The sequence below is a fragment of the Homo sapiens genome, chromosome 11 (assembly GCF_000001405.40).
Source record: "Homo sapiens chromosome 11, GRCh38.p14 Primary Assembly".
In the NCBI taxonomy this organism is placed as follows: Eukaryota; Metazoa; Chordata; class Mammalia; order Primates; family Hominidae; genus Homo; species Homo sapiens.
This window is the reverse complement of record NC_000011.10, coordinates 76907491-76933947: the sequence shown is the minus strand read 5'-3', so window position 1 is coordinate 76933947 and position 26457 is coordinate 76907491. Positions and strand designations below refer to the sequence as shown.

The following is a 26457-nucleotide window of genomic DNA, read 5'->3' as shown; positions in this document are numbered from 1 at the left end:
TCTGCCCGGCCGCCCCGACTAAGAAGTGAGGAGACCCTCCGCCCGGCAGCCGCCCCATCTGAGAAGTGAGGAGCCCCTCCGCCCGGCAGCCGCCCCGTCTGGGAAGTGAGGAGCCCCTCCGCCCGGCAGCCACCCCGTCTGGGAGGTGTACCCAACAGCTCATTGAGAACGGGCCATGATGACAATGGTGGTTTTGTGGAATAGAAAAGGGGGAAAGGTGGGGAAAAGATTGAGAAATCAGATGGTTGCTGTGTCTGTGTAGAAAGAAGTAGACATGGGAGACTTTTCATTTTGCTCTGTACTAAGAAAAATTCTTCTGCCTTGGGATCCTGTTGATCTATGACCTTACCCCCAACCCTGTGCTCTCTGAAACATGTGCTGTGTCCACTCAGGGTTAAATGGATTAAGGACGGTGCAAGATGTGCTTTGTTAAACAGATGCTTGAAGGCAGCATGCTCGTTAAGAGTCATCACCACTCCCTAATCTCAAGTACCCAGGGACACAAACACTGCGGAAGGCTGCAGGGTCCTCTGCCTAGGAAAACCAGAGACCTTTGTTCACTTGTTTATCTGCTGACCTTCCCTCCACTATTGTCCTATGACCTTGCCAAATCCCCCTCTGCGAGAAACACCCAAGAATGATCAATAAAAAAAATAAAAAAATAAAAAAAATAAAAATTATAAGTATGTGCTAAAAAAAAAAAAAAAGATTTCTAATTCAAGACTGCCCACTTCAGTCAGAATAGTGAAGTTTCATATATATATATATATATATGAAATACGTATATATTTGGGGAAGCAGTGAAGGGAGAAGAGGTTGATGTGTTTTGTAATTCTTTGTTTTAGGTAGGATCTTAATTCCCCTTAATGTTCTTCTTTCCTTTCACTAACGCATCTCCAAAGGGCACCTCCCCCTTTCTACTTATCTCTTTCCCAGAAGTGATGCCTTTCCAAAACTGCCACCTTTGGTCTGACACACTTTCAAGGCCTTTACCTTTAGACAGTACTGTGATCTACCAGATCTTAGACTGCTTTCATAGATTCTGCCTTTATTGTGGAGTTTTATCTTTCTATTGCTACTTTTGTCAGAATTAGGCCCTTGAGTCCTCTCTTCTCTTTTCCATATAGTTTTTCAAACATCTCCAAGTCTGAAACACTGAAAACAGTTCTGTTGGAACTTGGTGTTTATTTCTTATTTTAAAATAAATTGAAGGTCATAATACTGTTTCTCCTAGTAAGGCTGAAAGTGTGGGTTGCACGTAGTTCTATTTGTTTTCCTTATTAATCTCTATGTTTTTCTGGGAGAATAAGTGGACAAACTCCAGCTTAGGAGGCCACCATTATCCTAGGGCAACTGGAAGTCCCTCAGGTCTTTTTGTTCTTATTGTTGTTACAGATTGTGATCTGTCCATGTTTTATAAACATTATGAAAACACCCCAGAAAAAAAGCAAAGGGATAAGTCTGTAGACAAGTCTTCCTTTTGAAGATAATCAAGTAACTTTCTTAAAATGCATATGAGCAACAGATTGTGAAATTAAAGTCTCTCATATCTAATAAATAATCTAAGGTAGAATCTGACATGATTCACTATAGCTTACAGTTTTGGGATAATTAGAAGTCCTTTCTGTCAATGTGGAAATACTCACCATGAGCTAAAACAAAAGAAAGAGACTTTAGAGAGTTATAAAAAATAAATAAGGCCAGGCACAGTGGCACACACCTGTAATCCCAGCACTTTGGGAGGCCACGGCAGGAAGATTGCTTGATCTCAGGAGTTTGAGATTAGCCTGGGCAACATGGCGAAATCCTGTCTCTACAAAAAAATACAAAAATTAGCCAGGCATGGTGGCATACGCCTGTGGTCCCAGCTACTTGGGAGGCTAAGGTAGGAGGATCGCTTGCACCTGGGAGGTTGAGGCTGCAGTGAGCCAAGATTGTACCACTACACTCCAGCCTGGGTGACAGAGTGCGACTCTGTCAAAAAAAAAAAAAAAGCAACTCCAAAACACATAATTGTCAGATTCACCAAAGTGGAAATGAAGGAAAAAATGTTAAGGGCAGTCAGAGAGAAAGGATGGGTTACCCACAAAGGGAAGCCCATCAGACTAACAGCTGATCTCTCAGCAGAAACTCTACAAGCCAGAAGAGAGTGGGGGCCAATATTCAACATTCTTAAAGGAAAGAATTTTCAACACAGAATTTCATATCCAGCCAAACTAAGCTTCATAAGTGAAGGAGAAATAAAATCCTTTACAGACAAGCAAATGCTGAGAGATTTTGTCACCACCAGCCCTGCCCTAAAAGAGCTCCTGAAGGAAGCACTAAACATGGAAAGGAACAACTGGTACTAGCCACTGCAAAAACATGCCAAATTGTAAAGACCATCAATGCTAGGAAGAAACTGCATCAACTAACGACCAAAATAACCAGCTAACATCATAATGACAGGATCAAATTCACACATAACAATATTAACCTTAAACGTAAATGGGCTAAATGCTCCAATTAAAAGACACAGGCTGGCAAATTGGATAAAGAGTCAAGACCCATCAGTGTGCTGTATTCAGGAGATCCATCTCATGTGCAGAGACACACATAGGCTCAAAATAAAGGGATGGAGGGAGATCTACCAAGCAAATGGAAAACAAAAAAAGGCAGGGGTTGCAATCCTAGTCTCTGATAAAACAGACTTTAAACCAACAAAGATCAAAAGAGACAAAGAAGGCCATTACATAATGGTAAAGGCATCAATTCAACAAGAAGAGCTAACTATCCTAAATATATATGCACCCAATACAGGAGCACCCAGATTCATAAAGCAAGTCCTTAGTGACCTACAAAGAGACTTAGACTCCCACACAATAATAATGGGAGACTTTAACACCCCACTGTCAACATTAGACAGATCAACGAGACAGAAAGTTAACAAGGATATCCAGGAATTGAACTCAGCTCTGCACCAAGCGGACCTCATAGACATCTACAGAACTCTCCACCCCAAATCAACAGAATATACATTCTTTTCAGCACCACACCACCCCTATTCCAAAATTGACCACATAGTTGGAAGTAAAGCTCTCCTCAGCAAATGTAAAAGAACAGAAATTATAACAAACTGTCTCTCAGACCACAGTGCAATCAAACTAGAACTTAGGATTAAGAAACTCACTCAAAACCTCTCAACTACATGGAAACTGAACAACCTACTCCTGAATGACTACTGGGTACATAACGAAATGAAGGCAGAAATACAGACGTTCTTTGAAACCAATGAGAACAAAGACACAACATACCAGAATCTCTGGGACACATTTAAGTAGTGTGTAGAGGGAAATGTATAGCACTAAATGCCCAAAAGAGAAAGCAGGAAAGATCTAAAACTGACACCCTAACATCACAATTAAAAGAACTAGAGAAGCAAGAGCAAACACATTCAAAAGCTAAGAGAAGGCAAGAAATAACTAAGATCAGAGCAGAACTGAAGGAGATAGAGACACAAAAAACCCTTCAAAAAATCAAAGAATCCAGGAGCTGGTTTTTTGAAAAGATCAACAAAATTAATAGACCTCTAGCAAGATCAATAAAGAAGAAAAGAGAGAAGAATCAAATAGATGCAATCAAAAATGATAAAGGGGATATCACCACTGATCCCACAGAAATACAAACTACCATCACAGAATATTATAAACACCTCTATGCAAATAAACTAGAAAATCTAGAAGAAATGGATAAATTCCTGGACACATACACTCTCCCAAGACTAAACCAGGAAGAACCTGAATCCCTGAATACACCAATGACAGGCTCTGAAATTGACGCAATAATAGCCTACCAACCAAAAAAAGTCCAGGACCAGACGGACTCACAGCCAAATTCTACCAGAGGTACAAGGAGGAGCTGGTACCATTCCTTCTGAAACTATTCCAATCAACAGAAAAAGAGGCAATCCTCCCTAACTCATTTTATGAGGCCAGCCTCATCCTAATACCAAAGCCTGGCAGAGACACAACAAAAAAAGAGAATTTTAGACCAATATATCTGATGAACATCGATGTAAAAATCCTCAATAAAATACTGGCAAACCAAATCCAGCAGCACATCAAAAAGCTTATTCACCATGATCAAGTGGGCTTCATCCCTGGGATGCAAGACTGGTTCAACATATGCAAATCAATAAACGTAATCCAGCATATAAACAGAAGCAAAGACAAAAACCACATGGTTATCGCAATAGATGCAGCAAAGGCCTTTGACGAAATTCAACAGCCCTTCGTGCTAAAAACTCTCAATAAATTAGGTATTAGGTACTGATGGGACATATCTCAAAATAATAAGAGCTATTTATGACAGACCCACAGCCAATATCATACTGAATGGGCAAAAACTGGAAGCATTCTCTTTGAAAACTGGCACAAGACAGGGATGCCCTCTCTCACCACTCCTATTCAACATAGTGTTGGAAGTTCTGGCCAGGGCAATCAGGCAGGAGAAAGAAATAAAGCGTATTCAATTAATAAAAGAGGAAGTCAAATTGTCCCTGTTTGCAGATGACATGATTGTATATCTGGAAAACCCCATCGTCTCAGCCCAAAATCTCCTTAAGCTGATAAGCAACTTCAGCAAAGTCTCAGGATACAAAATCAATGTGCAAAAATCACAAGCATTCTTATACACTAATAACAGACAAACAGAGAGCCAAATCATAAGTGAACTCCCATTCACAATTGCTTCAAAGAGAATAAAATACCTAGGAATCCAACTTACAAGGGATGTGAAGGACGTCTTCAAGGAGAACTACAAACCACTGCTCAACGAAATAAAAGAGGACACAAGCAAATGGAAGAACATTCCATGCTCATGGGTAGGAAGAATCAATATCGTGAAAATGGCCATATTACCCAAAGTAATTTATAGATTCAATGCCATCCCCATCAAGCTACCAATGACTTTCTTCACAGAATTGGAAAAACCTACTTTAAAGTTCATATGGAACTAAAAAAGAGCCCGCATTGCCAAGTCAATCCTAAGCCAAAAGAACAAAGCTGGAGGCATCACTCTACCTGACTTCAAACTATACTACAAGGCTACAGAAACCAAAACAGCCTGGTACTGGTACCAAAACAGAGATATAGACCAATGGAACAGAACAGAGCCCTCAGAAATAATACCACACATCTACAACCATCTGATCTTTGACAAATCTGACAAAAACAAGAAATGGGGAAAGGATTCCTTATTTAATAAATGGTGCTGGGGAAACTGGCTAGCCATATGTAGAAAGCTGAAACTGGATCCCTTCCTTACACCTTATACAAAAATTAATTCAAGATGGATCAAAGACTTAAATATTAGACCTAAAACCATAAAAACCCTAAAAGAAAACCTAGGCAATAGCATTCAGGACATAGGCATGGGCAAGGACTTCATGTCTAAAACACCAAAAGCATGGCAACAAAAGCCAAAATTGACAAATGGGATCTAATTAAATTAAAGAGCTTCTGCACAGCAAAAGAAACTATCATCAGAGTGAACAGGCAACCTACAGAATGGGAGAAAATTTTTGCAATCTACTCATCTGACAAAGGGCTAGTATCCAGAATCTACAAAGAACTCAAACAAATTTACAAGAAAAAAACAAACAACCCCATCAAAAAGTGGGCAAAGGATATGAACAGACACTTCTCAAAAAAAGACATTTATGCAGCCCAAAAACACATGAAAAAATGCTCACCATCACTGGCCATCAGAGAAATGCAAATCAAAACCACAATGAGATACCATCTCACACCAGTTAGAATGGCGATCATTAAAAAGTCAGGAAACAACACGTGCTGGAGAGGATGTGGAGAAATAGGAACACTTTTATACTGTCGGTGGGACTGTAAACTAGTTCAACCATGGTGGAAGACAGTGTGGCGATTCCTTGAGGATCTAGAACTAGAAATACCATTTGACCCAGCCATCCCATTATTGGGTATATACTCAAAGGATTATAAATCATGCTGCTATAAAGACACATGCACACGTATGTTTATTGCGGCACTATTCACAATAGCAAAGACTTGGAACCAACCCAGATGTCCATCAATGATAGAATGGATTAAGAAAACGTGGCACATATACACAAGGGAATACTATGCAGCCATTAAAAAAGGATGAGTTCATGTCCTTTGTAGGGACATGGATGAAGTTGGAAACCATCATTCTCAGCAAACTATCGCAAGGCCAAAAAACCAAACACCGCATGTTCTCACTCATAGGTGGGAATTGAACAATGAGAACACTTGGACACAGGGTGGGGAACATCACCCACCAGGGCCTGTTGTGGGGTGGGGGAAGGGGGGAGGGATAGCATTAGGAGATATACCTAATGTAAATGACGAGTTAATGGGTGCAGCACACCAACATGGCACATGTATTCATATGTAACAAACCTGCACGTTGTGCACGTGTACCCTAGAACTTAAAGTATAATAATAATAAAAAAAACAGAATAGAAAATGAAGAAATGAAACTACTAGAAAGAATCTACTTCATTTGGTATTTTTTATTTATTATGATGATGCAAGAACATGACAGAAGACAGAAGTGATTTCACTACGTTAGGCTCTGGTATAGCTGATTTACCCATCCATCCAGTACTTATTGAGGAACACTAAACTGCCAGACAATAGGGACGCAAAGATCATTAAGACACAGTCCTCCACCTCACAGACAAGTAGAATATACGTAAGTCACAAAAGGTTGGATGGTATCCTTTCCAAAAAGTTTAAAACTATGCAAAACCATACTATGTATACTTCTAAGGATATATACATACATAGTATAAACATGAAAACATGAGAAAATGATAAGCATCAAATTCAGGATTGAGGCTAGCTCTTAGGGGATGGGCTGGGAGGCTGAGGGGGATACAATCAGGGAGGAATACAAAGGAGTTTTAATTTTATCTGTAGTAATTTCCTTAAAAAAGAAAAAGATCTGAAACAAATATTATAAATTGTTAGGACCTGACAAAACTGGGTAGTAAGATGTGTGGGTATATTTGTTATATTATCTCTATTCTTTTTTGTATGCTTAAAATATTTTGTAATTTCTAAAACATTTTATTCAAAATGCAGTTCAATTCACTGGCAAGGTTTTTGGAGTTTTAACTAAGAAGTTTCAGAATATATTCAAGTTATGTAATAACACAAAATTGAAAACCGCTTTTAGAAATGAATGAGAAAAATGGCCCATTTGAATACTGTACATTTCTTCAGATACAGTGTTATACATACCTGTGAGTGCTAAATAAGAAGCAATGTACCGCTTTTCCAGACCGTCTCTAACACTCTGAACTGCACCGAACATTGGAGGTATAATCATGATCAGGTTACTCACTGTATTCCCTTTAAGAGAAAAATATAAGAAGACATTTAGGTTAATCAATAACACTTTAAATAAAGATACATTCACGTAGGCTTTAACAACAATTACACAAGTAACTTCTCAGAAAGACATTGGGAAGATATTTTCAAGGTGCTGAAAAAAAATTCTGTACTCACCAAAAATTTCTCACAATAATCCAAATAAAATAAAGATATTTCAGACAAATGAAACTAAAAATTTTCCACCAGCAAACCCACTAAAGGAAATCCTAATTTCTAAAGGCAAGCAAGAAAAAGATCTCCGGAAGAACCTCAGAGATACAGCAGAAAATGGGTTGGGGGAGGCAGCCTATACTGATGCACTGAAATTGTGGTCCATGGATGCAGTATGACATGATGAATACAGGATTGGCTTAATTTTGTTACTTGGAATAAAAAAGCAACAAATTGCAGTTTACATTTTGTGTGTCTCTTTAACATTTCATTTTCTAGTAATGTTTTAATTTCTAGTTTCTGTTTCTAGTAAAACATAGAAGGCCTAATTAATGGATCTTAATTTGATCTTTCCTCCTGTCTTCACAAAAACAAAGTGCAAACATGAATAGCAAAGGAATAGTAAAAAACCCCAGTAGAATTTATAAGTAAATAAAATGGAGAAAGAAATGGCTAAACAGTATTTTATAAATTTGATTATCAGAAGAATAAAGGGGCACAATATTTTCCAAATTTCAAAAGAATGATTTTCAGCAGAGATGCTAATATCAAGACAAATAATCAATTCACTGAGAGGGTAGAAGAAAACATTTTCAAACAGTCAAGGATTAAAAAAATATACTTACAACATATCTTTTTCTGGAATCAACTGGAGAATGTAATGAGTGCAAACAAGGAAACTGACCATGAGAAAGGATGACATGAGAGCTAAGAAACATGGGCTGCAACACAGGAGAGAGGTAAAGAAAAGGCTCAAGACTACAAAAGGACCAGGGACCACACAGTCCATCCAAACTGCGGCAGGAGAACCAAGAACTGCAGGAAAGAAGTTTCCAAGAAGAAAAGGAAGAAAAGGATAGATAATTTGATAAATTAAAAAATTTTGGGGAAAAAATGCCAATGGGCATTTGACAGAGGTGTTGGAAAAATTGTACTATAACTCATTCAACCAGTCCTCTATAACTGTAAACATTCAGGTTATTTCCCATTCTCACTATTACAAGCAATATTGCAATGAATAACCATATATATTTACAAGTGCAGGTAATACTGCAATGAATAACCATATATATTTACAAGTGCAGGTATATCTGTAAAATAGATACACAAAAATGAGATTGTCAAGTCAAGAAATAAATCTATTGGCCCAAAAAGTAGTAACAGAAAACATGGACGCATCGTTCTTTCTTTTACAATGAATAAGGATGGGTATAATTTTATCTTCTTTTGTATTTCTTCTCCTATGAAATGTATTTCATGCCCTTTGCCAGTTTTTCTATTGGTCTTTCCTTTTTCTATAAGAAGGAGCCCTTCTTGTAAAAGGGATATTAATATTAACCCTATGTATTTGCTGTAGACAAATTTTTGGTGTTTTTTTTTTTTTTTTTTTTGACAGAGTCTTCCTCTGTTGCCCAGGCTGGAGTGCAGTGGCGTGATCTCAGCTCACTGCAACCTCCACCTCCTGGGCTCAAGAGATTCTTGTGTGTCAGCCTCCTGAGTAGCTGGGAACACAGGTGCATGCCATCATGCCCAGCTAATTTTTGTATTTTTAGTAGTCTACACAGAAAGAAATGTTACCATAGAGTACACTATCTGGCTTAGCAGTGCACATTATTTACATAGCCATATTGATATTATGGATGTTACATCCTAACTACTTATTTAGTAAAAAATTATGCTCTGACTTTATTGAGAAAATATAGTGGGGAAAGCAGGGATGGTATAAAAAAGTGAAATCCCCAACCACCAAAACTAGAAGACAACAGACAATATCTTAAATTTACAGATCCAGAAATAGGACTGTAAGGCAAGTTATTCAGAAATCTGAAGCCAAATTAATAATAATAAAAAAAAAATAGCTGGCCAGGGGCAGTGGCTAACACTTGTAATCTTAGCACTTTGGGAGACCAAGGTGGGAGGATCGCTTGAGCCCAGGAGTTCTAGAGCAGCCTGGGCAACACAGTGAGACTCATCTCTACAAAAATAAATAAATAAATACATAAATAAATAAAATAAATGTTAACACAGTTATTGTCAGACTTCTGTTTCCACACAAGATGAAGAAACAAGAACCAGATTTATCCTCTTACCTGAAATAAGAAGAAGAGGGGAGCAGAGGGAAGGGGAGAGGAGACAAAATATATGAAACAACTATTTTCAAGACAATAGACATCAGGCAATGATTCCCGAGAAACCAAGAAACAAATGGAGGCCCCTATGATTGCCCCTACCTTACTGCCTGGAGTACTCAAGCCACAGCATAAGGAGGGAGTACCCAGCGGGACCTTGGCAGGCTCCCTGATGAGGAAACAAAGCGGGGAGTTCAGGAAGACCAAGGTGACTAGATTTCACAGGAGACAGTATATGAGAGACAACTTTAGAGAGAAAGAACTCAGGAAATCTATAAAGGGCCCCCTAACTATTCAGCAGAAGACTGATTAGCAGATGTGTAGGAGCAAACTAGTCGAAGCCAGGAAAGAATCATGGTGAAAATATTAGAGGGAACAGTACCAGGTGTTCACACATAGCCAGTACACACATAGCCAGAAACAGTGCCTACTCCCAAAAGCTGAAATGGTAAAATTTGTATCACACTGGGCATTGGATAAAGGAATCAAGAAGGCCTGGCCTCAGTAATAGGGAATAGCTAGTACTAGACTGAACCCTGTTCCAGACACACCTAACAAATCACAAAAGCAAAATCCAAAAGGATCAAACTGTTTCCAAGTAGCTTCACTGAAATCCAGAACAAAATTCAAGACTATTTATACTAATACAAAAGTTATTCAGCACCTAACAAAGTTAAAAAAAGCACGATGTCAGGTATTCAATCAAAGATTACCAGGCATACAAAAAAAGCAAGAAACATGATCCATGAGGAAAATAATCAACTGGAACCAACCCAGAACAGATGTTAGAATTAGCAGACAAGGACTAAAACAGATCATATAAAAGGCTAGAAAATGCAAACTAATCTACAGTGACAGAAAGAAGATCAGTGGTTGCTGGGGGAGAAATGGTGGAAGTTCAATGCAGAAGGAGGGCTTACAAAGGAATAAAATAAAACTTGGAGGTGAAGGATATGTTACTATCTTGTTTTTGATGGTTTCACAGGTATAAGCCAATGTCAAATTTTAATTTGTACACTTTAAATAGGTGCAGTCTGTTTTGTATCTCAATTATACCTCAATCAAGCTGGGTTTGTTTTTTTTTTTAATTTTGCTTCTGGGGAGTAGAATTAGACAGTGGGAAGCAAAGAAGGGTTGGGAAAGAACATTGCCTTCTGGTTTTGTTAAAGTTGTTTAGCATTATCTAGATTTTTAAATTTTTTTTATATATTGCTTTGATAAAATAAAAATTAATACAGAAACCATTTAGGAGAGGGAGTAAGATCGTTGGGAATAGTTTCATAGATGTATTAAGATTTGAGCTAGACCCTGAAAGGAGAGAAAGGAACAAAAATATGCTGAGCCTATTAAGTACCAGGTACTGAACTTTATATTTTACATGTGCTATCTTACTTGCTTCTCACAACCAATCTTGTGAAGTATTGTTGTCCCTATTAAAAATAAACAGTAAAAGCGGGTTAAGAAATTATACAATTTACAGTATACAATTCCAAGTTCTCACAATAAGCAAATGGTGGTGGCAAGATTTTATTCCAGGTCTATCTGTCCTTATAGCTAATGTTCCTCTCACTAGATGTGCTAGCACAATGTTCACACAGAGGGTGCTTATTAATTATAATGTTTTAAAAATTATATCAGAGTATTTTATTCAGAATATATTAAATGACTTCCAAACTGTACAAAGAATAAAGTAATTTGCCTAGGTAGAGTATGAAAATGTAAGGTGGGGAGCCAGACAGATTGAGAGTTATATATCCAAACAGCAGTTATCAATAGTTTTAAGTAAACCTGTAGGAGATGTTGAATATTTTACCATTCAGGAGTGCCCTAAGATTCAAACTAATGAAAATCTTTACTGATGACTAAGATAAAGCAATGGAAACATGCCCAAACGTACAGGTAGTATTAAATTTAGCTGAAATGTCAATAGTATGGAAGTCAGTAATACATTTCAAATTACCTGGAGGCAGGGAGTGCAGGAGGGTCTTACAAACTATATGAAACTCATTTAAGGACAATGCACAAGTTTTACAAATTAGAATGAAGAATTGCAAACCACAAATATAGGCTTGTTAGAGAGAGTAAGGACAACCCTGACAGAAAGTTCCAAAGACAGAAAGATGACAGTAGGCTATTCTGGGAGGAAAATCTCAATATACTAGTATTCAGAGGTAAAAATGGAAAGAGCTAGATAGTGGTCCTCCTACTTTTCTCTGCTTTAATTCAGCTTCTCATTGGGATGTTTATCTATTTGTGGCACCCTAAACAAAACAGAAATACTAAAGCATTCAGAGTAGAGACTCATATAAAGGCATAATATACTAAATAAATAAAACACAACATATAAGGAATGGAATGACTGCTATCTTCAAATATCTGAAGGATTCCTGGGTCAGATTGACAATCTGAACACGTAACTGCAGTTTTGGTGTTACAGATATAATTTGCAATAGCATCAAAACACATCACATATCTAGGAATAAATCTGACAAAGACATATAAGACATAATACTAATAAAAATCCCAAATGGTTTTGGGTACAAATTAAAAAGCTGACTCTTAACTTTATATGAAATACAAAAGGCTAAGAAGAGCCAAGACAATCTTGAGTAACAACAAACCTGGAGTATTTACACTACTAGATATCAAGGCCGACTAACAAGGTTAAATAGAACAGGTAAGATTATAAGAACATACTAACATTTACGAGCACCTGATTTATGACAAACATAAGCCTGCAGTGTATTAAGGAAAGGATGGTCTTTTCAATACAGATACTGGATCAACTGCATATTTATATAGGAAAAAAATTAATCTGGATCCCAGGTTCACACTCCTTACACAAAAATAAATTCCAGATGGGAGCTTCTCTGAACCCATTCTGGTTCAAGGGCTGCCCAATTCGATAAACAATTAAAAATTTGTTTTAATTAAAAATAAATTCCAGAGGTACTATAGATCTAAATGTAAAAGGTAACACAATAAAACCTTCAGAAGAAAATATGGGAGAACATCTTTATCACCTTGGAGAGGCAATGATTTTTTTCAGTAGGACATGAAAAGGATTAACCACAAAGGCAAAAAATTGATAAATCAGGTAAGACTGTAAAGTCAGGAAAAAAGAATAAAAGGTTACTTTTAAAAAGCTGATTTAAAGAATAATAGATATGTAATTGCTTTGTAAATAAGCAATTTAGCTTATATAGCTATACATGTTAGCTAATTTAATTTTACTAAGCAAAATAATGCACATAAAATGATCGTGGACTTAAAACTTTGGGTAAAAAAATGGTTTCAGCCCAGGCATTGTGGATCATGGCTATAATCCCAGCACTTTGGAAAGCCAAGGGGGGAGGATTGCTTGAGCCCAGGAGTTCGACACCAGCCTGGGCAACATAAGGAGAACCCATCTCTACAAAAAATTTTTTAAAATTAGCCAGGCATAGTGGCACTTGCCCGTGGTCTTAGCTGCTCAGAAGGCTGAGGTGGGAGGATCGCTTGAGCCTGGGAGGCTGAGGCTGCAGTGAGCCATGATCACACCACTGCACTGCAGCCTGGGTGACAGAGCAAGACTCTGTCTGTTAAAAAAAAAAAAAAAAAAGTCAAGAGTTCAATCAGAAAAGATAAACCAGAGTAATTTGAATAGAGAATTATTAACTTATAAGAGTAAGGAGAGACAGGCTAGTCACAAGTAAAGAAAACTCTACAGAATAAAGGAATATCAGAGGTAAGGAGCAGCCACTACCCCTAAGGCTGAGATAGAGCATTAAAAAAGAGGTTTCCCCAAGGCTGAGATGCAGACCTTGCTGGAGAAGGCATGACCATGGTTCACTGAATAGCCGAGAAGTTGCTGTGGTGCTATACCCATAGAGCTTGCTGAAATCTACTGTTCAGAACTTGTCAGAACTCTGCCCTCTAGGGTGCCAGCTAAAGCTAATCCCATAGAGCGGAGAGGTAGGTGGGCAGGGGATGCTACTGACCACTAGGTGCTGCTGACAGCCACGTTCTGCAATAGCCTGGCACCAGAAGCTGACCAAGCTTTAAGAGGTGGGCACTGGGGAAGCCTCAGCACTGTAGGAGCCAGAAGCTATTAAGCCACTTGGACTGCAAGAGCTGGCGCCAGAGAAGTTGCCAAGCCAGCACACCAGAACCAGGAAGGAAAATCTCTTCCTCTTGCAATGTCTCTCTGGCGCCCTCTATTGACAAAATTTAACATCCAGCCAGTTGTCAAAGGAAAATATTCAAAGGGCTCAGGTCTATTTTCACCAACCATGCAATGAATGTTGAACTCAGAGCTAAGAAGTAATAAATTGATAACGACCACAATTATAAAACTATGTTTTCATCAATCATGACTTGGTAAAACTATAGTTGGTGAGGGTTCCCTAACCAAGAAATTAAGAATAAACATTTAAGCAGGTTAAATAATGGATTTCCCCCTTTTTCCATATTTTCTACAATGTTGCTATATTGTCTTTATAACTGAAAACTAAAGTATTAAAAAGATGAATGGTAGAAAATAAAATTACTTCTACTAAGAGTTTAATTGGATTTGAGGTTAACTGCTTCCAGAAAATTCAATTAAAAAATTTCTGTTCTGGAAATAAAAGCGAGATATTCATTCATACACCACACAATAGTGTACTAAAATATTTTGAACACTTTTTTTCTGGAAGGAAAGTCTTATTTTGATATAGATTTAGATTTTTGAAAACTATGATATTTTTATACCCCCAAACACATTCTCCTTATAATATAAATTACAGGCAAGACTGACGTTACAGTAATTTCACGATTTCTTAATAGGTAAATTTATCTTTCAGCAAGGTAAACGGAAACTCAAATATCAAAAATATGAGAAACAAAGTTTGGGGAAAAGCACATGTGCAAAAGGGTACAATTTAAGAGAATTGTGAATGAAGATACAGTAGGAAAGTGTTTTCTCATAGGACAGTAGGTGGAGCCAGTGTGCTCCACAATCTAAACGGTTTTCCAACATTTGGCTGAATACATAAAACCCTGAGGTGACTGGATAAACAATTTAGAGCTCGGTTGTATTTACAACTGTAAAACCATCACCCAGAGCTAAAGATAAATAAATAGAAGCATTAAAATCTAGTGAAGCTGAAAAAGTGATCTATATTGCTTCACTTCCACTGTGAAAAGCCGTCCTGCCCAGTCAGCAAATTAGCTTGATGAAAGCTGTAACTGGTTTGAGCCTGAAAGCAACCCAGCACTTTTCCCCAATGCAAGTTCATTTTGCCAAATATTTTACTGATTATGCAGATCTTCAAATAATGTTAAACATTCCCAGAGCTTCAGAGACTTCAGAGATGGATGTAGATAGGGAGATCATCTAAATTCATCTTCACAATTTAGAGTAGGCATTACTGTGTTCTTATCTACTACCACCTTCTAGCTGTGTGAACTTAGGCAACTTATTTATGCTTAAGCCTTAGTTTCCTAACTTGCAAAATGGGTAAAAACAATTATATTTACATTATTTAAATAATTGAATATGATATAAATAATAAATATGACCAAATAACACATATAAAGATTATTTGATATGAGAAAGATCCATAGAATATTATATAAGAACTTCCACAATCTTGCTGTGTTAAGAATTAATATCTATATAGTGAACTTGCACATGTACTCTTGAATTTAAAATAAAAGTTGAAAAAAAACCCCACATAACTACTTATGATATAAATAAAAAGTAAAAAACGAACAAAAATAGGTGCAACCTGGGAATTGTGTTGGTACTTGCACCAGCTCAAGAACAGTTATCACAAGGGAGAAGGTTTGTCTTCTAATCCAGGCCAGTAACAAAGAAAGTTATAGGGTACACTGGTTCACGCTAAGCTTAAAGAAAAAAATAATAATAATAACCATCATATAAATGCATATTACAGTACAAGGGACTCCTTCCAGTAGCTTTAAATTAAGATAGATATCAGAAGAAAAAAAAAACAGGAAACCAAGTGTGTCTTACTTTAAAAAATGATAAACACAAATGTAATTCAATTTGACAAACATTTATCAAGTATTTTCTACATGCAAGGCACTAAGTTGGGAGCTAGAAGAAAAATTAACAAGTGAATAACTTTGGTACCTATCCTGAAAAAGTATATATAAGTGTAGCAGGAAAGACAGACAGGTAAACAACTAGCAAAAGAGAGTGATAGGAACAAAGAAGGCAAAAAAACCAATACACTTAGCGGGAGGGAGAGAATCCAAGATGGGTTTCAGTAAGAAGATAACACTTAAGCTATGCTTCTGACAGATAAAAAGATATGCAGGAATGTGGGATTTTTATTACTACAAGAGTCATTCTATTTTCTTTTCTTTTCTTTCTTTTTTTTTTTTTTTTGAGACAGGGTCTCTCTCTGTTGCACAGAGTGAGTTCAGTGGCACAATCATGGCTTACTGCAGCCTCGACCTTTTGGGCTCAAGTGATCCTCCCACCTCAGCCTCCTGTGTAGCTGGGACTAAAGGCATATGCCACCACTCCTGGCTAATTAAAAAAAAATTTTTCTGTAGAGACAAGGTATCCCTATGTTGTTCATGCTGGTCTTGAACTACTTGACTCAAGCAATCCTCCCACCTTGGCCTCCCAAAGTGCTTAGATTACAGGCATGAGCCACTGCGCCTGGCCAATTATATATATTTTGGTTTTTTTGTACTGACGAGGTCTTCTTATGTTGCTCAGGCTGGTCTCGAACCCCTAAGCTGAAATGATCCTCCCACCTCAGCCCCCCAAAGTGCTGGGATTACAGGCATGAGCCACCGTGGCTGCCCTAAGTCATTCTATTTTCTTTGGGATATATATAATAGTTTAGAAAAATATTTAATTTATGAAAATTAGTTTTTTCACATTATTTTTAAAAATATACATTACACATTCACTTTATTGCATGTAAGTATTACTAAAAATATTTTTAAACCACCAATATTGCCCAGAAACATTTCCTGGGTAAGGGGGAAATTGTGCAGATGGCTTCTGGAAGACCTCCAGTCTAGGTAGGTTTATGGTGAAACATTTCATCCAGAAGTCGGGGCCTTTTGTCTTCAGTTTGCTGGAACCCACATTCACTAAGCAGAGCTTGTAATGATCATTGGGACCCAGTAAAAATGGAAATGTTCATGTTAAATTCAAGAGGAAGTACATTGTAGGTTTGGGAAGAAAGGCCAAGTACACAGTGGTAAAGAGCTAAGAGAAGAACTTGGGAGCTCCATATCAGATACGGCTTAGGTAAACTCTGGCCTCACAAGAGGGAGGTTACAGGGGAGGGGAATGACTCTGTACAAACAGCATTTACAGGTCTAAAATGCTGCTTTAGAGAAGGATCAAAGATGAGCACACTGAGAAAGATTTAAAACAGATAACCATGATGAAGTCATGAGCCAGAGAAGAACAAGGTAAGTAACAGGGTCTTGAAATCCCTAGAGAAATAGTTGGTGAAATGAACATTTTTGATTTATTCAAAGGTCAAAAAGGGAAAGTTTCCAAACTATGTTCAGTAATGAAGAGGCATTATTGAAATGACATAATCTGAAAATGGTTATTTTGATAATCCCTTCTTCCTCTCCACTTTTACCGAAACTTCTTTAAGGGCCCAAATCAAATCCTACCTACATTTGGTGAATTTTTGTTAATCATCCTACTCAAAATGACCACTCTTGTTACAGCACTTAACCGTTTTAACCTCTCACCTGGCACTTAGCATAGATTGCCTTGCATAGACAGATCTCTTTTCACTAAATCTGATCAACTGATATTTATGACTTATCTCCTCAGTTACATTTCTTGAGGGCAGTGGCCTTATATTCATTCAATAGCAAATACCCACTGATCATCTACTACAAAAGGCTCTATAAAGGAATACAAAAGAAAACCAGACAGACTGCCCTCATGCAAATTAAACTAGTTCCAAATTTTCAAGAGTACAGGTATTTAAAACCTAATAGATATTATTTCAGATGTGGTTCAGTTATGATGTAATAAAGTTATTCTTTTCCCCAAAATTAATTTAACAGATTCATCCTTCACCCCAAACTAATTTCAGTATAATTTTTCATTCACTCTTCATTTACTTAGAATTAAAATGCATCAGTCAAAAATCATGAATGCATAAGACCTTTAAAATGCATTTTAAATTTAGACTAAATTAACCTTAATTATTAAAAATGCAGATGATTTATTACTGTTAAAATCTCACAAAAGATACCTTCTATATTTGATATGGTTAGGTTTTGGGTCCCCACCCAAATCTCATCTTGAATTGTAATCCCCAGGTGTTGAGGGATCTGGTGGGAGGTGATTGGATTATGTGGGTGGTTCCCCCATGCTGTTCTTGAGACTGAGTGAATTCTTACAAGATCTGATGGTTTTACAAATGGTAGTTTTCCCTGTGCTTGCACACACTCTCCTGCTGCCATGTGAAAAGGTCCAAGTTTGCTTCCCCTTCGCCTTCTTCCATGACTGTAAGGTTCCTGAGGTCTCCCCAGCCATGTGGAACTGTGAGTCAATGAAACCTCTTTTCTTCATAAATTACCCAGTCTCAGGTATTTCTTTATAGAAGTGTGAAAATGGACTAATACTGTTACAGGTAGTTAGGCATGAGTGAGGCCGGGGAGGGCTCTCCCCCCACCCACTAGAAATGTCGGGTGATAGTTCAGCAATTATCGCATTGCCTCTCTCAGCAGTAGGGGTGCCAGGGAGAGGTTGTTTCCGGATGGTCCACACCTGTTAACATCGAGACAAAAATGGTGAAGTACGATCTCGGGGGGGTGGGTACGCTCCACCAGAAAAGGGAAGAAAGCCTCAGATGGGCATGTGTATAACTCCCTGAACACACTGCGCGTGCTCAATTCCAAAGGGTAAGGAAAGCACGGGGCATGAGAAAGCCCACCCTAAGGGAAGTATCATGGGAAAGAGGCGAGCCCATAAAGTCCTAGGATCAAGGTAAAAGGGCCTTTTTTTTCTGTCTTCTTTTGCTGTCTTTTTTTTTTAACTTATTTATTTATTTTTCCTTTTTTTAAATTATACTTTAAGTCCTAGGGTACATGTGCACAACGTGCAGGTTTGTTACATATGTATACATGTGCCATGTTGGTGTGCTGCACCCATTAACTCGTCATTTACATTAGGTATATCTCCTAATGCTATCCCTCCCCACCCCACAACAGTCCCCGGTGTGTGATGTTCCCCACCCTGTGTCCAAGTGTTCTCATAGTTCAATTCCCACCTATGAGTGAGAACATGCAGTGTTTGGTTTTTTGTCTTTGTGATAGTTTGCTGAGAATGATGGTTTCCAGCTTCATCCATGTCCCTACAAAGGACACGAACTCATCCTTTTTTTATGGCTGCATAGTATTCCATGGTGTATATGTGCCACATTTTCTTAATCCATTCTATCATTGATGGACATCTGGGTTGGTTCCAAGTCTTTGCTATTGTGAATAGTGCCACAACAAACATACGTATGCATGTGTCTTTATAGCAGCATGATTTATAATCCTTTGAGTATATACCCAGTAATGGGATGGCTGGGTCAAATGGTATTTCTAGATCTAGATCCTTGAGGAATCGCCACACTGTCTTCCTCCATGGTTGAACTAGTTTACACTCCCACCAATAGTGTAAAAAGTGTTCCTATTTCTCCACATCCTCTCCAGCACGTGTTGTTTCCTGACTTTTTAATGATCGCCATTCTAACTGGTGTGAGATGGTATCTCATTGTGGTTTTGATTTGCATTTCTCTGATGGCCAGTGATGGTGAGCATTTTTTCATGTGTTTTTGGGCTGCATAAATGTCTTCTTTTGAGAAGTGTCTGTTCATATCCTTCGCCCACTTTTTGATGGGGTTGTTTTTTTCTTGTAAATTTGTTTGAGTTCTTTGTAGATTCTGGATATTAGCCCTTTATCAGATGAGTAGACTGCAAAAATTTTCTCCCATTCTGTAGGTTGCCTGTTCACTCTGATGATAGTTTCTTTTGCTGTGCAGAAGTTCTTTAGTTTAATTAGATCTCATTTGTCAATTTTGGCTTTTGTTGCCATGCTTTTGGTGTTTTAGACATGAAGTCCTTGCCCATGCCTATGTCCTGAATGCTATTGCCTAGGTTTTCTTCCAGGGTTTTTATGGTTTTAGGTCTAACATTTAAGTCTTTGATCCATCTTGAATTAATTTTTGTATAAGGAGTAAGGAAGGGATCCAGTTTCAGCTTTCTACATATGGCTAGCCAGTTTCCCCAGCACCATTTATTAAATAGGGAATCCTTTCCCCATTTCCTGTTTTTGTCAGGTTTGTCAAAGATCAGATGGTTGTAGATGTGTGGTATTATTTCTGGGGGCTCTGTTCTATTCCACTGGTCTATATCTCTGTTTTGGTACCAGTACCAGGCTGTTTTGGTTTCTGTGGCCTTGTAGTATAGTTTGAAGTCAGGTAGCGTGATGCCTCCAGCTTTGTTCTTGGCTTAGGATTCACTTGGCAATGTGGGCTCTTTTTTGCTTTCATATGAACTTTAAAGTAATTTTTTCCAATTCTGTGAAGAAAGTCATTGGTAGCTTGATGCGGATGGCATTGAATCTATAAATTACCTTGGGCAGTATGGCCATTTTCACGATATTGATTCTTCCTACCCATGAGCATGGAATGTTCTTCCATTTGTAAATTAGGTATTGATGGGACGTATCTCAAAATAATAAGAACTATTTATGACAAACCCACAGCCAATATCATACTGAATGGGCAAAAACTGGAAGCATTCCCTTTGAAAACTGGCACAAGACAAGGATGTCCTCTCTCACTATTCCGATTCAACATAGTGTTGGAAGTTCCGGCCAGGGCAATCAGGCAGGAGAAAGAAATAAAGGGTATTCAATTAGGAAAAGAGGAAGTCAAATTGTCCCTGTTTGCAGATGACGTGATTGTATATCTAGAAAACCCCATCGTCTCAGCCCAAAATCTCCTTAAGCTGATAAGCAACTTCAGCAAAGTCTCAGGATACAAAATCAATGTGCAAAAATCACAAGCATTCTTATACACCAATAACAGACAAACAGAGAGCCAAATCATGAGTGAATTCCCATTCACAATTGCTTCAAAGAGAATAAAATACCTAAGAATCCAACTTACAAGGGAGGTGAAGGACCTCTTCAAGGAGAACTACAAACCATTGTTTTTTTGCTTTCTTCTCTTGGACCTTCAGGTCTCCTTCAAGCAAATTTTCCTTTCTTTCCTATCCTAAAACCTTTTAAATAAGCTTCCACTCCTGATCTGAAAATTGCCTCAGTCTCTTTTTCTGCTGTATGGCCCTCAGTCGAATTCTTTCTTCTGAGGAGGCAAGGACTGAAGTTGCTGTGGACCCATATGGATTCACTGCCAGTAACTTGGATCTCTTCCACCGCTAACAATACAATAGTTTTATGATTTATTGTCATTAAATAGCATAAAAATTTCCTCAATTGCCTTAATACATGCAAAAAAAGTTTTTCAAACAGCTATTTATTATATAAACACAAGAGAAAAAATTTTTTTTCTGACGACTGCGCTGCCTCCACATTACTCAGACCAAGACTCAGGATTCCCCAAAGATTAGTGATCTGGGTTCTATAACCTTTTTAAAAACAATATGTCATTGTCTTCTTTAATCTATAGAGATCACAATTTTTTTAAATTATCACATAATATTACATTATATGGATATATTATAATTTGTATAATCCCTTATTGGCAGATAGTTATGTTATTTTCAGGTTTTCACAACAGAAAAAAGCAATATTATGAACATCTGTATTAATTTCCTAGGGCTGCCGTAACAAATTACCACAAACTGGGTAGCTTAAAAAACCAATTCAATTTCTTACAATTCAGGATGTCCACAGTTCAAAATCAAGGTGTCAGCAGGGGTGGTTCCTTCTAGAGCCCCTGAAGGAAAAATTGTGTCATGCTTCTCTCTCAGCTTCAGGTGGTTGCTAGCAATCTTTGGCATTCCTCACTTTGCCTTCTACTCTCTATGTCACTATGTTTTCTTCTAAGGATACCAATCACTGAACTTAAGGAATACTCTAATTCCAGTAGATTTAATCTCAAGATCCTTAATTATTAATGTATCTGCAAAGAGCTTATTTTCAATTAAGGTCACATTCTGAGGTTCCTGACAGACATGAACTTTGGGGAGACATTATACAACCACTAGAACATTCTTAAAAATATTTATTTGTTCATACATTTTGTTAAGTTCACAGGATGAATTCCCTAGGGTAGAATCTCCTCTTGGAGAAACTCCCCAGCTTCCCTCTAAGAATTTTCCTTTTAGCCTCTATTGGGGTAGGCAGCAAATTATAAGACCTTCCCCACTCCCTCATTCCCCTTGCCAAATCTCACACTAATCCCAGATTCTTTGTCTGGAAAATCAGAATTAGGACTCAAATAAAAATGATACTTTTTTGGATACTTATAGTGAAGGTAGTGTAAAGCTAAAGCTGAGGCTTCCATATTTAGGCCAAGTATATAAGGAATGAGAGAAAGCTGTTCTATAGAGGAAGAAGAAAAAGGCAGATGAGGCAGATAGTAGCAGACATTAAACACCATGGTAGTGTCAGAGGCATTTGAACCAGGGCAACTCCATCTTGAATACTGGCTGGATAAAATGAGGCTGAAATCTGCTGAGCTGCATTCTCAGGAGATTAGGCATTCATAATCACGGAACAAGACAGGAGGTCAGCAGGATGGGATTTTGGCTGATAAAGAAGCCAGCCAAAATCCATCAAAACCAAGATGGCAAAAAAAGTGACCTCTGGCCCTGGCACTGCTAATCATATGCTAATTATAATGCATTAGCATGCGAAAAGACACTCCCACCAGTGCCACGACAGTTTGCAAATGTCATGGCAACGTCTGGAAGTTACCTTATATAGTCCAGAAGAGGGAGGAACCCTCAGTTCCAGGAATTGCCCGCCCCTTTCCTGGAAAACTCATAAATAACTCACTCCTTGTTTAGCATATAATTAATAAATAACCATAAAAATAGCCAACCAGCAGCCCTCAGGGTTGCTCTGCCCTTGGAGAAGCCATTCTTTTATTCCTTTACTTTCTTAATAAACTTGCTTTCGATTTACATGGACTTGCCTGGAATTCTTTCTTGCGCAAGATCCAAGAACCCTCTCTTGGGGTCTGGATTGGGTAACAGTAGCAGAGACTGTAGAGAGTAATCTTAATAACTATAAACAATTTTAATCAGAAAAATGGTCATTGTTTCTGATTTTCCTATAATCACGTAAGTATTCATCCATGTAACTTAATAATCTTTGAAAATACAATTTCGATGGCAGCATAATGTTCTATCATATAATAATCACTTAATCATTATATTTGTGGGTGCATTACACAGTACAACCAAACTACTTTCCAGAATGGTTGGACCAATTATAATCCTATTAGCAGTACATAACGGTGACTGGTTCACATATTAACTTCAGTAACATTGAACAATATAATGTCTTACTTTAAGAGGTAGAAAACTATATATTATTACTTTTTAATTTACATTTCTCTGGGTTACTAAACTATTTATATGTTTATTATTTTCTGTTTATTAATGGTATATTTTCTTTGGCGAAATGTTTATCCAAGTTACTTAACCACCTTGCGCCTTAATTTTCTCCTCTGTAGATTAGGCATAATACCTATTATGATGATGAAATATTGCAAAAGTGAATTGAGTAAGCAAGGAATAAATGTTAGTTCTCTTTTAAAGAGTTTATTCTACAATGAGATAAAACACCTTTATTCTGATAGGGTGAAATATCTTAGAAAAACATACAGTCTATAATAATTTGTTAGAAAAAATAATAGATTCAATGGAATTATATGTAGTCTTTTTTCAGAAAGCAGTAAGAAATAGTTACTCTTAAGTAACTTATCTGTGAAAATCATAATTTTTTATTATTATTATTATACTTTATGTACTGGGACACATGTGCAGAACGTGCAGGTTTGTTACATAGTTATACATGTGCCATGGTGGTTTGCTGCACCTATCAACCGGTCATCTACATTAGGTATTTCTCCTAATGCTATCCCTCCCCTTGCCCCCCACCCCCCAACAGGCCCCAGTGTGTGGTGATGTTCCCCTCCCTGTGCCCATATGTTCTCATTGTTCAACTCTCACTTATGAGTGAGAACATGTGGTGTTTGATTTTCTGTTCCTGTGCTAGTTTGCTGAGAATGATTCTTTCCAGCTTCATCCATGTCCTGGCAACAGATATGAACTAATTCTTTTTTATGGCTGCATAGTATTCCATGGTGTATATATGTCACATTTTCTTTATCCAGTCTATCATTGATGGGCATCTGGGTTGGTTCCAAGTCTTTGCTATTGTGAATAGTGCTGCAATAAACATACGTGTGCATGTGTCTTTATAGTAGAATGATTTATAATCCTTTGGGTACATACCCAGTAATGGGATTGCTGGGTCAAATGGTATTTCTGGTTCTAGATCCTTGAGGAATCGCCACACTGTCTTCCACAATGGTTGAACTAATTTACACTCCCACCAACAGTGTAAAAGCGTTCCTATTTTTCCACATCCTCTCCAGCATCTATTGTTTCCTGACTTTTTAATGATTGCCATTCTAACTGGCGTGAGATGGTATCTCATTGTGGTTTTGATTTGCATTTCTCTAATGACCGGTGATGATTAGCTTTTTTTCATATGTTTGTTGGCCATATAAATGTCTTCTTTTGAAAAGTGTCTGCTCACATCCTTTGCCCGCTTTTTGATGGGGTTGTTTTTTTTCTTGTAAATTTGTTTAAGTTCCTTGTAGATTCTGGATATTAGCCCTTTGTCAGATGGATAGATTGCAAAAATTTTCTCCCATTTTTAAGATTGCCTGTTCACTCTGATGATAGTTTCTTTTGCTGTGCAGAAGTTCTTTAGTTTAATTAGATCCCATTTGTCAATTTTGGCTTTTGTTGCCATTGCTTTTGGTGTTTTAGTCATGAAGTCTTTGCCCATACCTATGTTCTGAATGGTATTGCCTAGGTTTTCTTCTAGGGTTTTTGTGGTTTTAGGTTTTACATTTAACTGTTTAATCCAGCTTGAGTTAATTTTTGTACAAGGTGTAAGGAAGGGGTCCAGTTTCAGTTTTCTGCATATGGCTAGCCAGTTTTCCTAACACCATTTATTAAATGGGGAATCCTTTCCCCCATTTCTTGTTTTTGTCAGGTTTGTCAAAGATCAGATGGTTGTAGATGTGTGGTGTTATTTCTGAGGCCTCTGTTCTGTTCCATTGGTCTATATATCTGTTTTGGTACCAGTACCATGCTGTTTTGGTTACTGTAGCCTTGTAGTATAGTTTGAAGTCAGGTAGAATGATGCCTCCAGCTTTGTTCTTTTTGCTTAGGATTGTCTTGGCTATATGGGCTCTTTTTTGGTTCCATATGAAATTTAAAGTTGTTTTTTTCTAATTCTGTGAAGAAAGTCAATAGTTTTTTATATTTATTCAAATAAAAGCTTGATGGGAATAGCATTGAATCTATAAACTACTTTGGGCAGTATGGCCATTTTCACAATATTGATTCTTTCTATCTGTGAGCATGGAATGTTTTTCCATTTGTTTGTGTCCTCTCTTATTTCCTTGAGCAGTGGTTTGTAGTTCTCCTTGAAGAGGTACTTCACATCCCTTGTAAGTTATATTCCTAGGTATTTCATTCTCTTTGTAGAAATTGTGAATGGGAGTTCCCTCATGATTTGGCTCTCTGTTTGTCTACTATTGGTGTATAGGGATGCTTGTGATTTCTGCACATTTTGTATCCTGAGACTTTGCTGAAGTTGCTTATCAGCTTAAGGAGTTTTTGGGCTGAGACGATGGGGTTTTCTAATATACAATCATATTATTATTATAATACAATCATATGTTTTCTAAATATAAAATCATACTATTTCTAAATATACAATCATATTTTCTAAATATACAATCATACAATCAAGATGGAGTCTTGCTCTGTCGCCCAGGCTAGAGTGCAGTGGCACGATCTCAGCTCACTGCAACCTCCACCTCCCAGGTTCAAGTGATTCTCCTACCTCAGCCTCCCAAGTAGCTGGGATTACAGGCATGTGCCACCATGCCCAGTTAATTTTTTTATTTTTAGTAGAGACAGGGTTTCACCATGTTGGCCAGGCTGGTCTCGAACCCCTGACTTCAGGTGATCCACTTGCCTTGGCCTCCCAGGGTGCTGGGATTACAGGCGTCAGCCACTGTGCCCGGCAAAAATTATAATTTGTATATAATGACAAGCAACAATAGCTTTATAAAACTAGAACTTATTGGCTTATTTTTATTTTTATTTTTTGAGACAGGATCTCACTGTGTCGCCCAGGCTGGAGTGCAGTGGTATGATCTCAGCTCACTGCAAGCTCTCCCTCCTGGGTTCAAGTGACTCTCCTGCCTCAGCCTACCAAGAAGCTGGGACTATAGGCATGCATCACCATGCCCGGCTAATTTTTGTATTTTTTGGTGGAGACTGGCTTTCACTGTGTTGGCCAGGCTAGTCTTGAACTCCTGCCTCAAGTGATCCACCTACATTGGCCTCCCAAAGCACTGGGATTACAGGTGTGAGCCACTGTGCCCGGCTTTATTGGCTTATTTTATCCAATTCAAAAATAATCTTGTAAATCTGAACAGTCAGAAATCAAGGTGAAAACAATAAAAGCACTCAAGAAAATCACATAC

The 26457-nt window shown here is 37.7% G+C and overlaps 1 protein-coding gene across 9 annotated transcripts in view, besides 1 other annotated feature; it reads right to left on the bottom strand.

The window, feature by feature from the left end:
* ACER3 (alkaline ceramidase 3) overlaps positions 1 to 26457 on the bottom strand; it is a 165880-nt gene that overhangs the window by 92850 nt on the left and 46573 nt on the right. For 7 of the 9 annotated variants that reach the window (XR_007062489.1, NM_018367.7, XM_011545151.3 and 4 more), the window contains exon 2: positions 7281 to 7391. The exons of 1 other annotated variant lie outside the window; for it this stretch is intronic. Coding sequence is in view for 5 of the 8 variants with exons in the window: in NM_018367.7 (NP_060837.3) it covers positions 7281 to 7391 (111 nt within the window). In the remaining 3 variants the exon portion in view is untranslated. Of the gene's footprint in view, positions 1 to 7280; positions 7392 to 13692; positions 13842 to 26457 lie in introns of those variants that run through there. One more of the 9 variants, XM_011545152.3, reaches the window with a different exon arrangement.
* Positions 22509 to 22803: an enhancer, noted in NCBI's record as "tiled region #1403; K562 Activating DNase unmatched - State 8:EnhW, and HepG2 Activating non-DNase unmatched - State 24:Quies". NCBI's record gives its function as "activates a minimal TATA promoter and a strong SV40 promoter by Sharpr-MPRA in K562 cells, with weaker activation in HepG2 cells {active_cell/tissue: HepG2 | K562}" and the evidence as "EXISTENCE:reporter gene assay evidence [ECO:0000049][PMID:27701403]".